At 42.6% G+C, this 15215-nt stretch overlaps 1 protein-coding gene and 1 long non-coding RNA gene across 10 annotated transcripts in view; one reads left to right on the top strand and one right to left on the bottom strand.

Moving 5' to 3' along the window:
* Window positions 1–15215, bottom strand: part of CERS3-AS1 (CERS3 antisense RNA 1) — a 64976-nt gene that overhangs the window by 1521 nt on the left and 48240 nt on the right. Inside the window, exon 4 of the long non-coding RNA NR_120374.1 lies at window positions 10311–10402. This is a non-coding gene — a long non-coding RNA (CERS3 antisense RNA 1). The remainder of the gene's footprint in view (window positions 1–10310; window positions 10403–15215) is intronic.
* Window positions 1–15215, top strand: part of CERS3 (ceramide synthase 3) — a 144289-nt gene that overhangs the window by 108290 nt on the left and 20784 nt on the right. The window lies entirely within an intron of this gene.

Raw genomic sequence — 15215 nt, 5'->3', positions numbered from 1 at the left:
CAGGCAGTGTTTGGTTTTCTGTTCTTGTGTTAGTTTGCTGAGAATGATGGTTTCCAGCTTCATCCACGTTCCTGCAAAGGACATGAACTCATTCTTTTTTATGGCTGCATAGTATTCCATGGTGTATATGTGCCACATTTTCTTTATCCAGTCTATCATTGATGGACATTTGGGTTGGTTCCAAGTCTTTGCTATTGTAAATAGTGCTACAATAAACATATGTATGCATGTGTCTTTATAGTAGAATTATTTATAATCCTTTGGGTATATACCCAGTAATGGGATTGCTGGGTCAAATGGTATTTCTGGTTCTAGATCCTTGTGAAATTCACCACACTGTCTTCCACAATGGTTGAACTAATTTACACTCCCACCAACAGTGTAAAAGCATTATTTCTCCACAGCCTCACCAGCATCTGTTGTTTCCTAACTTTTTAATGATCACCATTCTAGCTGGTGTGAGATGCTATCTCATTGTGGTTTTGATTTGCATTTCTCTCATGACCAGTGATGATGAGCTCTTTTTCAAATGTTTGTTGGCCACACAGATGTCTTCTTTTGAAAAGTGTCTGTTCATACCCTTGACCCACTTTTTGATGGGGTTGTTTGTTTTTTTCTTGTAAATTTGTTTAAGTTCATTGTAGATTCTGGATATTAGACCTTTGTCAGATGGATAGATTGCAAAAATTTTCTCCCATTCTATAGGTGGCCTGTTCACTCTGATGCTAGTTTCTTTTGCTGTGCAGAAGCTCTTTAGTTTAATTAGATCCCATTTGTCAATTCTGGCTTTTGTTGCCATTGCTTTTGGTGTTTTAGTCATGAAGTCTTTGCCCATGCCTATGTCCTGAATGGTATTGCCTAGGTTTTCTTCTAGGGCTTTTATGGTTTTAGGTTTTACATTTAAGACTTCAATGCATCTTGAGTTAATTTTTGTATAAGGTGTAAGGAAGGGGTCCAGTTTCTGTTTTTTGTGTATGGCTAGCCAGTGTAAAACAAGCTTTTATTCCAGTTTTCTTTGGTACTCCCTGTTTCCTCAAAGAGGTTCTGGCTGCTGGCATCTGTTTCCAACAGCAGACCTGTCTTCCCTGCAGTCACTCAGGACTGACTTAGTCACACGAGGGATCTTCCGTACTCCAATTTATTGCATATTAGCTCCAGTGTGCTAAAGTTCTTGCTTTGTATGTTTTCTGGCAATGGTTTTCAAAATACTAGTTCTTTGGAGGTGCTGGGCTACCCAAGTCGTTTGGCCAGCAGGAAGTCAAAGGAGGCAGTTGCAAATGAAAGGGCTTAAGATGAGAGCTGCTTCCTGAGAGCACGGCATTGATATCTGTGGGATTCCAATCCTGCCTCTCTTTCCTCTGTCCCAAATGTGGACTGTGATGTCCTCAGAACCACAGACCATGTCTTGCTGAAGTTGGAAAGGAGGGTGAGGGAGGGGGAAGAACCAAGTACAAGAAACTCTGACATCCCTTGTTCCCATTATTTTTAAACGTCGTTTCCCAAAACGAAATGAATTTTTATGTAATCCTGAAAGGAAGAGATAGTCTCCTTTTTATTAGTAGAGAAACAGACGCACACACACAGATGTCGTATATGGAATCTGAACTTTAGACCGGGGCACAGGCACAGTTTGTGGCCTGTTAATAAATCTGCACATTCACAGCAGGATATGAGAGTTTTATTAATGTGTTCTTAGGCCAGAGAGCTTGGTAAAAACAGGTATAGGGAGGCCCCATGCTGGCCAGCACTGTCCCTGCTAGTCTCCCACTGTTTTCTGTGGCCACACCCTCCCTGTGGCCATCTCCCCACCCCTACTACCTAAGTCTCAGAAGAGAGTTTTGTGTGACACAAAAGAAACCTTATTCCTGAACACTCATTCAGTGTGTAGATGTGGGTAAAAGAAATTAGTTTTTCAAACATTTTCATTTTGATTTATCATGTGGGCTTTAGCACCTGAGTGATTTATGATGCAGATGGCTTGATCTGTGCTCTGATTTGGGAACAGCACGCATGCCGTCTGTGGAACTCTGGGTGCTCAAAGGGGCTGTGTTCTTCAAAGGGTGTCTCCTTGGCACATGTGACAGGCCCAGGAAGTCCTGAGCAAAGCAGTCCTGGGCACGCACTCTTCGCGTGGATCCATGGCCAATGACCTGGATGCCTGAGCTAAGACATCATGGAATGCCTGTCCTTTCCAATGGGCCTCGGCCTCAAGATTCCTCCATGCAACTGACATACTTCTAGGACGTCTTCAGTCTGAGCCTGGAAACATGGTCACGTCTTTCAAAGGAATGGAACTGACTCTGCTGAGTCATCTAGATGGGTTGGAAACCCAGATCCACTCCTCATAGCTCTCCACAGAGGCCTGACTGCAGGGGCTAAGGCCAGAACAGGCCCTACATGGGCAGCTACCTGTTTAATGTTTGGATGGTAGCCCCTAAATCTACCTGCATGCAAGACAGCATGAAGAATGTGGAGAAAGCCCAGGCCTCAAGAGGGCCCCAGGGTATTGGCTGTCCAGAGGAAGAGAGTAATGGGGGAGATCTAAGTCAGCAAGGCTGTGGCGAAAGCCTGAGGCAAGCTTTGCCCACTTTGAAGCTTTCTGTTGCTATTTGTTCCTGCCATGTCAGTTGAGAGTGTTTGTGTGTGCATGTATAGGTGTGTGTGTGTGTGCACATGTGTGCATGGGCATGCATACACAGGAGGATCTGGGGATACCCTGGGCTTCCACACCTGTGAGGGAGTGAGGGTAGCTGGGCTGGGCAAAGGGAGAAGTTGAACTCTGATGTGGGTGCAACCAAGGCCTCCACCAACCCTACAGAGAGCTCTAGTTCTGGGTGGCCCTTCAGAGATGACCCAATTGAGCCAAGGAGGCTGGGCCTCTGTATTTGGACATTAACCTGTTACTGGATATGGGCTGCCATCTAGAGAGGGGAATTTGTATATATTTTTTCTTCTCCTTATAGATAAGCTGAACAGTGTTCTGTTTCCTAGGAAACCTGAAGCTATATGTTCATGTTGATTCTATAGCTGTTTGGGGAGAATGGTGGGGCGGCGGGGGGAATTTGTAATCAGGCTACCACCATTGTTCTTCAGCCCCAGAAGTCCTCAAGTCATTTGCAATCTTAGGTACTTGAATTGAATTTTTTTTTTTTTTTTTTGAGACAGAGTCTTGCTCTATTGCCCAGGCCAGAGTGCAGCAGTGCGATCTCAGCTCGCTGCAACCTCAGCCTCCTGGGTTCAAGCGATTCTCCTGCCTCAGCTTCCTGAGCAGCTGGGACTACAGGTACCCGCCACCACACCTGGCTGATTCTTTGTATTTTTAGTAGAGATGGGGTTTCACCGTGTTAGCCAGGATGGTCTCGATCTCCTGACCTCATGATCCACACACCTCAGCCTCCCAAAGTCCTGGGATTACAGGTGTGAGCCACTGCACCCGGCCTGAACTATTTTTAATACCAAATTTCATACCACATACCTTGCAAGTGACCTTGACAATATCTCAGTTATGGAGAGCTCCGCAGAGCAGCACAGAACCAGATGGTAGCCCCTCAGATACCAGTCATCAAGCCCTACCACCTCTTCCGTGACTCTGTTTCTGCAGGCTAAATACATACAATTCTTTCGAACGTACGTGACTCTGTTTCTGCAGGCTAAATACATACAACTCTTTCGAACGTACCTCCTAAGACATGCTGTGGAGTCTTTTCACCTACCTCATCACTCTCTTGTTCTATTTTATCCAGATTATTTAAATGTTATACCTAGAAGTCAGCACAGTTTTCTAGATGTGGTCTGACTCATACAAAATCAAGCAGGTCTGTTTTCTCTGTTTTTCTGAAAATTCTGTTTCTATTGATGTAGGTTAGTTTTCCATTGCTGTTAGTCGCATTATGCTGTTAATTCATACTGAGCTTGAAATTGATTAAGCCTCCATGTCTTTTCCACATGAACTATTGTTAAGCAACATTTCCTCCACTGGGGAATTGTCTGGTGCTGAGAGTGGTTTTTCGTTTTTGTTGGAAGTTATATTTCTTTTTGTTAAACTTCATTTTGCTTGATCAGGTTATCATTCCAGCCTTTTGTTTAAGAATGGGAAAGCCTGACATTTGGTGACAGGTGCTTAAATATTTTTGATGACCTGTTGTTTAAAAGGCCTATTAAAGCCAGGAGTGGTGGTACATATTTGTAGTCCTAGCTGTTTGGGAGGCTGAGGCAGGAGGTTTGCTTGAGCTCAGGAAGTCAAGGCTTCAGTGAGCCATGATTGCCCCACTGCACAATCTAGCCTGGAAACGGAACAAGACCCTGTCTCTTAAAAAAAAAAACAAAAGAGGGCCTATTAAAGGAACTCAGGAGTATGCTATACAAGGCAGCTCATGAAAACGTCCTAATTATTTTGTTTGAATCAGAGGAGGATTGTAATTATACTTAAGCCTAACACACAAGAAGATCTACTACTCACACCGTAAAGAAGATCTCCCAGGATTCCAGACTTTTTGCCTCAGATCAACTTGTTACTGCTGTGTTGCTAGCTTGTTACATGCTAGCTATGTTGACTACAGCTAACTAGAGTGGCTTGGGCGTTAATAGAAAAATACAGCCAGGTCCCAACACAGACCAGTTAAATCTACAGAGGTGAGATCGAGACACTGGAATTTTTGACAGTCCTCTTCTTCCACTAAATGATTCTAATTTGCATCCTAGGCTGAGATCTACAAGATTAAGCAGAGAAAACCAGCTGCATGTGTCTTCTCCCCACTGGAAAAATGTCCATGGTGCCACTCCATTTACTGGGTCTATTTTTTAAAAAGCGGAGATCACTATACTCTTCCCTACATTTGTAAAGTCAATTGGCATGACCTCAACAAACATTCCCATCTTGAAAATATTACAAAATTAGTGGACTTTTGTGTTACATTGATGTTCTGCACTAAAAGAAAAAAAAACTGATAAAAATTCAGACTTGAAAATAAGCACATTGGGATTCTTTTGTAGAAAAACAGAATTCTTTAAATAGCACATTTTTCTGGAGAATTTAAAAACATGATTTATTTTATAAAATGATTATTTTTAAAGAACCATTTATTATATAAAGTGAGACATACTTGCAATTTTATGTTGCCTTTCTGGACTGAAAAGTTACTTGTGAAATATAGAGACTAAGGAAGTCAAAGTTATTTGAAAGCATGGAATTTTAGAAGTTGAAAGACCCTTAGGCAACCCTCTGCTGCAACTTTTTCTTTTCACAAAGAGTAGCAATCCAGAGAGGGTTTGTGGTCTAACAGACAACCATGCTCTCCAAAGTGCAGTCTGACCATCAGCCCAGGTACAGTCCAGGGACTGCTAGAAATACAATATCTCAGGCCCCACCAGTGACCTCCAGCATGAGAATCTGTAGTTTACCAAGAACCCTAGGTGATTTGCGAGCATGTTACAGTTTGGGAAGCACTGGTCTAGAAAATTCATATTCCAGACAACTGAAAGGAAAACGGCCACGCGTAGCCAGAGTTCACAGAACTCAATTTAAATTTAATGCAACTGCCTTGAGGAGGGAAAAAAGGGGAAAAAACTCAATTTGTTTTTTTCTGTGACCTTGTCAACTTGGATAATTAGAACCTATATAACAAAAAGGAATGTACTTTGCTAGTAGTTCAGAAAATTGAACTGACTGAATGTATTTTTTTCATACAGTGAAAGCTAAAAATTTGCTTTCAAAACAGCATAAAATGCTTATTATATAGCTCTTTGTTTCATTGCCAACTGCGGATTTAGACATGGAGTCATTCAAAGAGCAGTGGGACATTATGAGTAATTCACAATCTTCTGGGCTTTTGACATTTCTGCAAAGCCACAGATTCCCAAGCACAGCATTTAGTTACAGCACTTCAAAAACACAGCACTATGATTTTATGGAAGCTGTAGTACAGATGTCATTCCCAGAGGTGTAAGGAAATGCTGTGGGCAAAGATTGTTCATTTAGTTCAAATGAGCATTTTATCTTATTAACATTAGAATGTATTTTTTTTCTCATTGTCAAGTTTTTTGTTTTTGTTTTTGTTTTCTTTTGGTCATTCTTTTTTTTTTTGAGACGGAGTCTCGCTCTGTCGTCCAGGCTGGAGTGCAGTGGCGTGATCTCGGCTCACTGCAAGCTCCGCCTCCCGGGTTCACGCCATTCTCCTGCCTCAGCCTCCCGAGTACCTGGGACTACAGGCGCCCCCCACCACAACTGGCTAACTTTTTGTATTTTTAGTAGAGACAGGGTTCCACCGTGTTAGCCAGGATGGTCTCGATCTCCTGACCTCGTGATCCGCCCACCTCTGCCTCCCAAAGTGCTGGGATTACAGGTGTGAGCCACCGCGCCCGGCTTTTTTGGTCATTCTTGCAATCATTTTTGAGGAATACAGATGAAGCCCAAGTGAATTATGTATAAGCATATATATATATAAATATATAAAAAAAAATACACCAAAAGTAAAGCCAAAAGTGTAGACATCCGGATTTGACTTTAAATTTATTGTGCTCACCTTTTCTTTTGGTGGAGATTAAAGTGGTGGGAATTTGTGTATTAATTGAGTGATGCTGGTTGTGTTACACATATTGTACAATACGGGGTGATGGCTGTGGATAAGTATGTTTATTTAAGAAACACAGATGGTGAAGCTTTTCCGTGCTGTGTCATGTGAGGATCAACTGAAGGATGGGGGAATGTTTAGCTGGAAGAGGAGTTCATTATCTTTAAATGTTTGGAAAATTAACCAATGTTTGAAGGGAGTACACAGACTTCTTTTGCCTGGTACAAAGGGGTAGAACTTGGAGGAATGCGTGGGCGCTCCAGGGAGGCAGAGATCAGCCCCAAATATGAAAGGAAGCAGATAGTGAATGACTGCAGAGACACAGGCAGGGGTGTGCGTCTTCTGCTAGGGTTGTTGTAAAGAGCCTATCACCATCAAATAGAAACTGGATTAGAAGACACTTAAAGGTCCCTTTCAAACCTGTAGGTCTACAGATACTGCTGTTTCTTACGTAATACCCCTTCCACATCGCAGTGCTACTCCGATAGCCTCCAGAGTTTCCCTCCTGGACTGTGACCTCGGCCTCCCAAGTATGCCAGCTGGGCTCCTTCCAGCCATTTCCACACAGTGGCAGAGAGCACTGCTATAGAAACCAGCTCCCCCGGTGCAGAAGCTCACTGAGGACAAACACCTTGTCTGTTTTCTCACTGATACACTGCAAACACCCAAAACAGTGCTATAAAGTGGCTTCTAGTTGGGTTTAGAAATGAATTTGAATTTCTGACCATGACCTGTGAAATTCATTATCTGATCTGTGCTTATTTGAGGCCTCACCTGGGGTCAGGCCCTGCCTTTCTCAGCATTCATTAGCTGTGCTGTCCTTGCTAATCCCCGAGCATGCAAGGCTCTCACATCGCAGGGCCTCTGCCCACGTTGTTTCTTCTTGAAAGGTTTATTCCACTCTTCTCCGGCTACTCCTGTTAAACTATAGGTTACAACTTGAGTTCATTTCCTTAAGGCCTTCCTGGCATCAGCCTCATCTAAGTGAGATTCCTCTATTTAAATATCATAGTATTCTCTACTTCCTAACATGCATCAAACCTGTAACGATGTATTTCTTATTGTGTGTTTGATTCTGTAGCATTCAGTTCTTTCAATAGATTGTAAGTTATTTGAGAACAGACCATTATATCTCCAATGTCTTGCACAGGGCACAGGGTATTAAAAGGATTTTTTGAACTGGTGGTTCTCAACTGGAGCAGTTTTGGCCTTCAAGGATATTTGACAATCTGTGGAGACATTTTTGTCTGTCACAAGTGGGAGGTGCCACTAGTATGATACAGATAACTGGAGGTGCTTACTGCTAGACGTCCCACAATGGGCAGCAAGGTCCCGGAATCACCTGGCCCAAAATATCCACAGTGCCGAGGTTGTGAACCTTGGGGTGAATGAATGAACTGTCTGTCTTTTGGTTGATTGTCCTTTGTGGCAAGGTGTTTTTCCCAAATTATTCATTGCTTTCCCACTGCCAGTGTCTTCTCATCCAGGGGAAACTTTGATTTATGCAGGAACAGCCAAACACATGATTCCTTGAGAAACCAAGCTCTCCAAAATTAGCTGGTTAGTATTTCTTTACATGGAAATATTGGCATTTAAAATTATTCAAATGATAATGGTTTTGAAAGAAAACAGTTGCCAGCCATTTCCTTTTGAGATAAGGCAACTGCATTGAAAAGTTTTGATGGATGGAGAAAATGAGATTGTAGCAAATTTGTCAGTTGTAATCCCAATCTGAGAAAACATTTACTCTGATAGCACTCTGCACTATAACCTTCAGTTCCTTCACTGTTATGTACCATGAGGGCTGGGAAGGACACACCAGGGGAGGCCGTTTTGACTCTGCCAAACAGTGGTTCCTCATTCATTCTAATTCACTTAGTGACGTGGCTCTCTCATTGCTTTTTTCACCACCTGACCTCTTTACCTTCTGAGTCTAACTCAGTAAAACTGTTCCCATCCTGGGGGTGGCCACCTTCACCTGTCTCTCGGCAGGAAGCACAGAATCTGAGTTTGAGCTACACAACTTTTTGTTTCTAGCTCAAGCCATCATATTTATGAGGAAGACTTGTTAGAAGAAAATGAATGACAGTTTCTACCTATTGAAAAATTTCATTCGGCTTTGTAGTCAGAGTCTGGGACAGTACTTCCCAATCTTCATCACTTCATCGTACCCGAGAGATTGATGTTTGTGCAGCACACAAGGGTAAACTGAGGTGGGCCTCAAAGCAGGAGAAGACAGTACAAGTAATCCAGGCACCTGGGGCTCTGGTAGCTTCAGGCTCTGCCTTGCTACCCCAAGGCCTGAGAGGATTAATGTCTCAGCATAACTTTTAACCCTTTCCTGGCACATCCGTTGGGAATTTCTGGTATAGAATAGCCTCACGTAATGGCCACTCATCTATGGGCCAATAGATGATAATGTTATTCATTTCCACTTAATATGGGCTGATAGATTGGCATTGCCTAAGAACAAGTCATATTTTGTTTATCCCTGGAGAAGCACAGATGAGATACTTTTAAAATTTTCCTTATTCGGAATTCTTGCCAACAATAGCACTTTCGCTCCTCCGAGACAGGGATGCAGCGCTGTCCAGCAGGAACCATCTGAAGTAGCCATCACAAGGCCTGCTGCAGAGGACCGTATGTCAGAAGAGGTCTCTCAGGACCAAAACATACGCAGCTGTGTCATGGAGGGCCAGCCAGTGGGGCACACACCCCTCGGCTGACTACTGTGTTCCCTTACCCTGAGGTCACGGGTGTGGGCTTGCCAACCCGTGTCAGCTCAGAATCTGGAGCCTGGCCACAGAGATCTGATATAGCTTGGACATTGCTGAAGACAGCATTTGGAGAGCTGAAGAGTGCAGGGACCCGTATCAAAGGACCCAATTGAGTGTAACAGGCTGGAAATGAAGTACCTCATAAAAGGCAGGGATTGGGGATAATTTTTAGGATTTTGTTTTCAGCAACTGAGTGGGTGGGAGTACCATTTGCTAAATTATGGAAGGCCAGAGAAAAAGGTGGTGTTAAGGGGAGGAGACTAGAGTTTAAAGACTGTTAGACAGCTGAGGGATTTTCTAGCTATTGAGTTTTTGAGTTTGAAGCCTGAAAGAGGCCCACACGGGGGATATAAACTTGGGAGTCATCTACAGTTATACAGTATTCAATTAATGCTATGGTATTAGATTAATTCATTCACTCTTTCAACACATATATCCAGAGTGCCTACTATGTACTAAATGAGATCACCTACGAGAACCCAGAGAAGACAGATGGTATATTCCAGTATATTCCTACTCATTTTATTCTCTCTCCCTCTCTTTCCCTGCAGAGATGGCCACTGTCTTGAAGCTGGTATCCTTCCTCTCATGCCTCTGTATATTTATTATGTCTGGATATAGTTACGGGCATTAGAGTATTATTTTCTGTATTTTAAAACTTTATGTAAGTGATATGAGCTGATATATAAATGTGTAGCTTTTTTCACTCATTATAAGACTATTCATATTGATGTATGTCTCCTTGTGAACATGTGTGTGAATTTCTCCATAAATGGAATTGTTAGGTCAAATTTATTTTATTTTTTATTTTTCACTATCTCAAAGGAACTCATTTTAATTTTTTTATTATGCAACATTTAGTTTATTAATTGAATATGAAATTTTTGATGTGTATATAGCTGATGAGCTTTTTTTTCTTTTTCAACTTTTTTTAAAATAAAGAAAATAGGTTTAATTGACTCACAGTTCTGCAGGCTGTACAGGTAACATGACTGGGGAGGCCTCAGGAAACAATCATAGCAGAAGGCAAAGGGAAAGCAGGCACTTCTTACATGGCTGGAGTAGGAGGAAGAGAGCGAAGTGGGAGGTGCTACACACTTTTAAACAACCAGATCTCGTAAGAACTCACTCACTGTCACAAGAATAGCAAGGGGTAAATCCACCCCCTTGATCCAGTCACCTCCCACCAGGCCCCTCCTCCAACATTCAGAATTACGGTCAACATGAGATTTAGGTGGGGACACAAATCCCAAACCATATCATTCTGCCCCTGACCTCTCCCACATCTCATGTCCTTCTCACATTGCAAAATACAATTATCCCATCTCAAAAGTCCCTCAAAGTCTCAACTCATTTTAGCATTAACTCAAAAGTCCAAAGTCCAAAGTCTTATCAGAAACAAGCTAGTCTCTTCTGCCTATGAGCCTGTAAAATAAAACAGCAATTAATTAGTTCCAAGACACAATGGGGGTATAGGTATTGGGTAAATACTCCCTTTCCAAAAGGGACAAATCAGCCAAAACAAAGTGGGCTACAGGCCCCATGGAAGTCTGAAGCCCAGCAGGGGGTCATTAAATCTTATAGCTACAAAATAATCTGCTTTGACTCCATGTCTCACATTCAGACGACACTGATACTAGGGGTGGGCTCCTAAGGCCCTGGGCAGCTCTGGCCCTGTGGCTCTGCAGTGTACATCACCAGCGGCTGCTCTCAAGGGCTGGTGTTGCGTGCCTGTGGCTTTTCCGGGTGCATAGTGCAAGCTGTCAATAAATCTACCATTTTGGGGTCTGGGGGACTGTGGCCCTCTTCTCGCAGCTCCACTCAGTAGTGCCCTGGTAGGAACTCTGTGTGGGGGCTCCAGCCCTACATTTCCCCTCTGCACTGCCTTAGTGGAGGTTCTTCATGAGTGCTCCACCCCTTCGGCAGATTTCTGCCTGGATGTCTAGGCATTTCCGTACATCCTCTGAAATCTAGGCGGAGGCTCCCAAGCCTCACTCTTGCCCTCTGTGCACCCACAGGCTTAACTATATGGAAGCCGCCAAGGTTTTTGGCTTGCACCCTCTGGAACAGTGGCCTGAGACATATCTGGGGCCCTTTTAGCCATGGCTGGAGCTAAAGCAGCTGGGAAAATGCCTTGGAGGCATTTTTCCCCATTGTCTTGGCTATTAACATTTAGCTCCTCTTTATGCAAATTTCTGCAGCCAGCTTGAATTCCTCCCCAGAAAGTGGGTTTTTCTTTTCTACCACATGGTCAGGCTGCAAATTTTCTTGCAAACTTTTGTGCTCTGCTCCCCTTCTAAATATAAATTCCAGTTTCAGAACATCTCTTGGTTCATGCAGATGAGCATATGCTGTCATAAGCAGCCAGGTCACTTCTTGAACGCATTGCTGCTTAAAAATTTCTTCTACCAGATACCCTAAATCATCTCACTCAAGTTCAAAATTCCACAGATCCCTAGAGCAGGGGCATAATGCCAGTCAGTCTCTTTGCTAAAGCAAGGAAAGAGTGACCTTTACTCCAGTTCCCAGAAAGTTCTTCATCTCCATCTGAGACCTCCTCAGCTTGGACTTCACTGTCCCTATCACTATGAGCATTTTGGTCACAACCATTCAACAAGTCTCTAGGAAATTCCAAACTTTCCCTCACTTTCCTGTCATCTTCTGAGCCCTTTAAACTGTTCCAACCTCTTCCCATTACCCAGTTTCAAAGCTGCTTTCACATTTTCAGGTATCTTTATAGCAAGGGCCCACTGCTGGTACCAAGTTTCTGTATTAGTCAGTTCTGGCACTGCTGTAAAGAAATATCTGGCCAGGCATGGTGGCTCACACCTGTAATCCCAGCACTTTGGGAGGCCAAGGCAGACAAATCACCTGAGGTCAGGAGTTCAAGACCAGCCTGACCAACGTGGAGAAACCCCATCTCCACTAGAAATACAAAATTAGCTGAGCATGGTGGTGCATACCTGTAATCCAAGCTACCTGAGAGGCTGAGGCAGGAGGATCACTTAAACTCGGGAGGTGGAGGTTGTGGTGAGCCGAGATGGTGCCATTGCACTCCAGCCTGGGCAACAAGAGCAAAACTCCACCTCAAAAAAAAAAAAAAAGAAAGAAAGAAATATGAGACTGAGTAATTTATGGAGAAAAAAATTTAATTAACTCATGGTTCTGCAGGCTGTACAGGTAACATCGTGGGGGAGGCCTCAGGAAACTTTCAATCATGGTGGAAGGTGAAGAGGAAGCAGGCACATCTTACATGGCTGGAGTAGGGGGAAGAGGAGCTCTTTTTCAACTTTTGTTTTAGGTTCAGGGGGCACATGTACAGGTTTGTTACTTGGGTAAATTGCATGTTGCTGGGGTTTGGTGTACAAATGATTTTGTCACCCAGGTAGTGAGCATAGTACCTGATAGGTAGTTTTTTGATCCTCACCTTTCCCCTACCCTCCGCCCTCAAGTAGGACCTAGTGTCTGTTGTACCCCTCTTTGTGTCCATGTGTGTTGTAAGTGAGAACATACAGTACTTGGTTTTCTGCTCCTGCATTAATTTACTTGGGATAATGGCCTCCAGCTGCATCCATGTTGTTCCAAAGGACATGATTTTGTTCTTTTTTATGGCTGTATAGCATTTCACAGTGTATATGTACCACATTTCCCTTATCCAGTCCACTACTGATGGGCACCTAGGTTGATTCCATGTTTTTGCTATTGTGAATAGTGCTATGATGAACATATGAGTGCATATGTCTTTTTGGTAGAACAATTTATATTTCTTTGGGTATATACCCAGTAATAGGATTGCTGGGTTGAATGGAAGTTCTGTTTTAAGTTCTTTGAGAAATCTCCAAAATGCTTTCCACAGTGGCCAAACTAATTCACATTCCCACCAGTAGTTTATAAGCATTCCTTTTTCTCCATCACATTGCCAAAATCTGTTATTTTCTTTTTTTTTTAACATTTTTTTTTTATTATACTTTAAGTTTTAGGGTACATGTGCACAATGTGCAGGTTAGTTACATATGTATACATGTGCCATGCTGGTGTGCTGCACCCACTAACTCGTCATCTAGCATTAGGTATATCTCCGGATACTATCCCTCCCCCCTCCCCCCCACCCCACAACAGTCCCCAGAGTGTGATATTCCCCTTCCTGTGTCCATGTGATCTCATTGTTCAATTCCCACCTGTGAGTGAGAATATGCGGTGTTTGGTTTTTTGTTCTTGCGATAGTTTACTGAGAATGATGATTTCCAATTTCATCCATGTCCCTGCAAAGGACATGAACTCATCATTTTTTATGGCTGCATAGTATTCCATGGTGTATATGTGCCACATTTTCTTAATCCAGTCTATCATTGTTGGACATTTGGGTTGGTTCCAAGTCTTTGCTATTGTGAATAATGCCGCAATAAACATACGTGTGCATGTGTCTTTATAGCAGCATGATTTATAGTCCTTTGGGTATATACCCAGTAATGGGATGGCTGGGTCAAATGGTATTTCCAGTTCTAGATCCCTGAGGAATCGCCACACTGACTTCCACAATGGTTGAACTAGTTTACAGTCCCACCAACAGTGTAAAAGTGTTCCTATTTCTCCACATCCTCTCCAGCACCTGTTGTTTCCTGACTTTTTAATGATCGCCATTCTAACTGGTGTGAGATGGTATCTCATTGTGGTTTTGATTTGCATTTCTCTGATGGCCAGTGATGATGAGCATTTTTACATGTGTTTTTTGGCTGCATAAATGTCTTCTTTTGAGAAGTGTCTGTTCATGTCCTTCGCCCACTTTTTGATGGGGTTGTTTGTTTTTTTCTTGTAAATTTGTTTGAGTTCATTGTAGATTCTGGATATTAGCCCTTTGTCAGATGAGTAGGTTGCGAAAATTTTCTCCCATTTTGTAGGTTGCCTGTTCACTCTGATGGTAGTTTCTTTTGCTGTGCAGAAGCTCTTTAGTTTAATTAGATCCCATTTGTCAATTTTGGCTTTTGCTGCCATTGCTTTTGGTGTTTTAGACATGAAGTCCTTGCCCATGCCTATGTCCTGAATGGTAATGCCTAGGTTTTCTTCTAGGGTTTTTATGGTTTTAGGTCTAACGTTTAAGTCTTTAATCCATCTTGAATTGATTTTTGTATAAGGTGTAAGGAAGGGATCCAGTTTCAGCTTTCTACATATGGCTAGCCAGTTTTCCCACCACCATTTATTAAATAGGGAATCCTTTCCCCATTGCTTGTTTTTCTCAGGTTTGTCAAAGATCAGATAGTTGTAGATACGCGGCATTATTTCTGAGGGCTCTGTTCTGTTACATTGATCTATATCTCTGTTTTGGTACCAGTACCATGCTGTTTTGGTTACTGTAGCCTTGTCGTATAGTTTGAAGTCAGGTAGCATGATGCCTCCAGCTTTGTTCTTTTGGCTTAGGATTGACTTGGCGATGCGGGCTCTTTTTTGGTTCCATATGAACTTTAAAGTAGTTTTTTCCAATTCTGTGAAGAAAGTCATTGGTAGCTTGATGGGGATGGCATTGAATCTATAAATTACCTTGGGCAGTGTGGCCATTTTCACGATATTGTTTCTTCCTACCCATGAGCATGGAATGTTCTTCCATTTGTTTGTATCCTCTTTTACTTCCTTGAGCAGTGGTTTGTAGTTCTCCTTGAAGAGGTCCTTCACATCCCTTGTAAGTTGGATTCCTAGGTATTTGATTCTCTTTGAAGCAATTGTGAATGGGAGTTCACTCATGATTTGGCTCTCTGTTTGTCTGTTATTGGTGTATAAGAATGCTTGTGATTTTTGTACATTGATTTTGTATCCTGAGACTTTGCTGAAGTTGCTTATCAGCTTAAGGAGATTTTGGGCTGAGACAATGGGGTTT

Source organism: Homo sapiens, chromosome 15 (genome assembly GCF_000001405.40).
Source record: "Homo sapiens chromosome 15, GRCh38.p14 Primary Assembly".
Lineage (NCBI taxonomy): Eukaryota > Metazoa > Chordata > Mammalia > Primates > Hominidae > Homo > Homo sapiens.
This window is presented reverse-complemented; position numbering and strand designations above follow the sequence as displayed.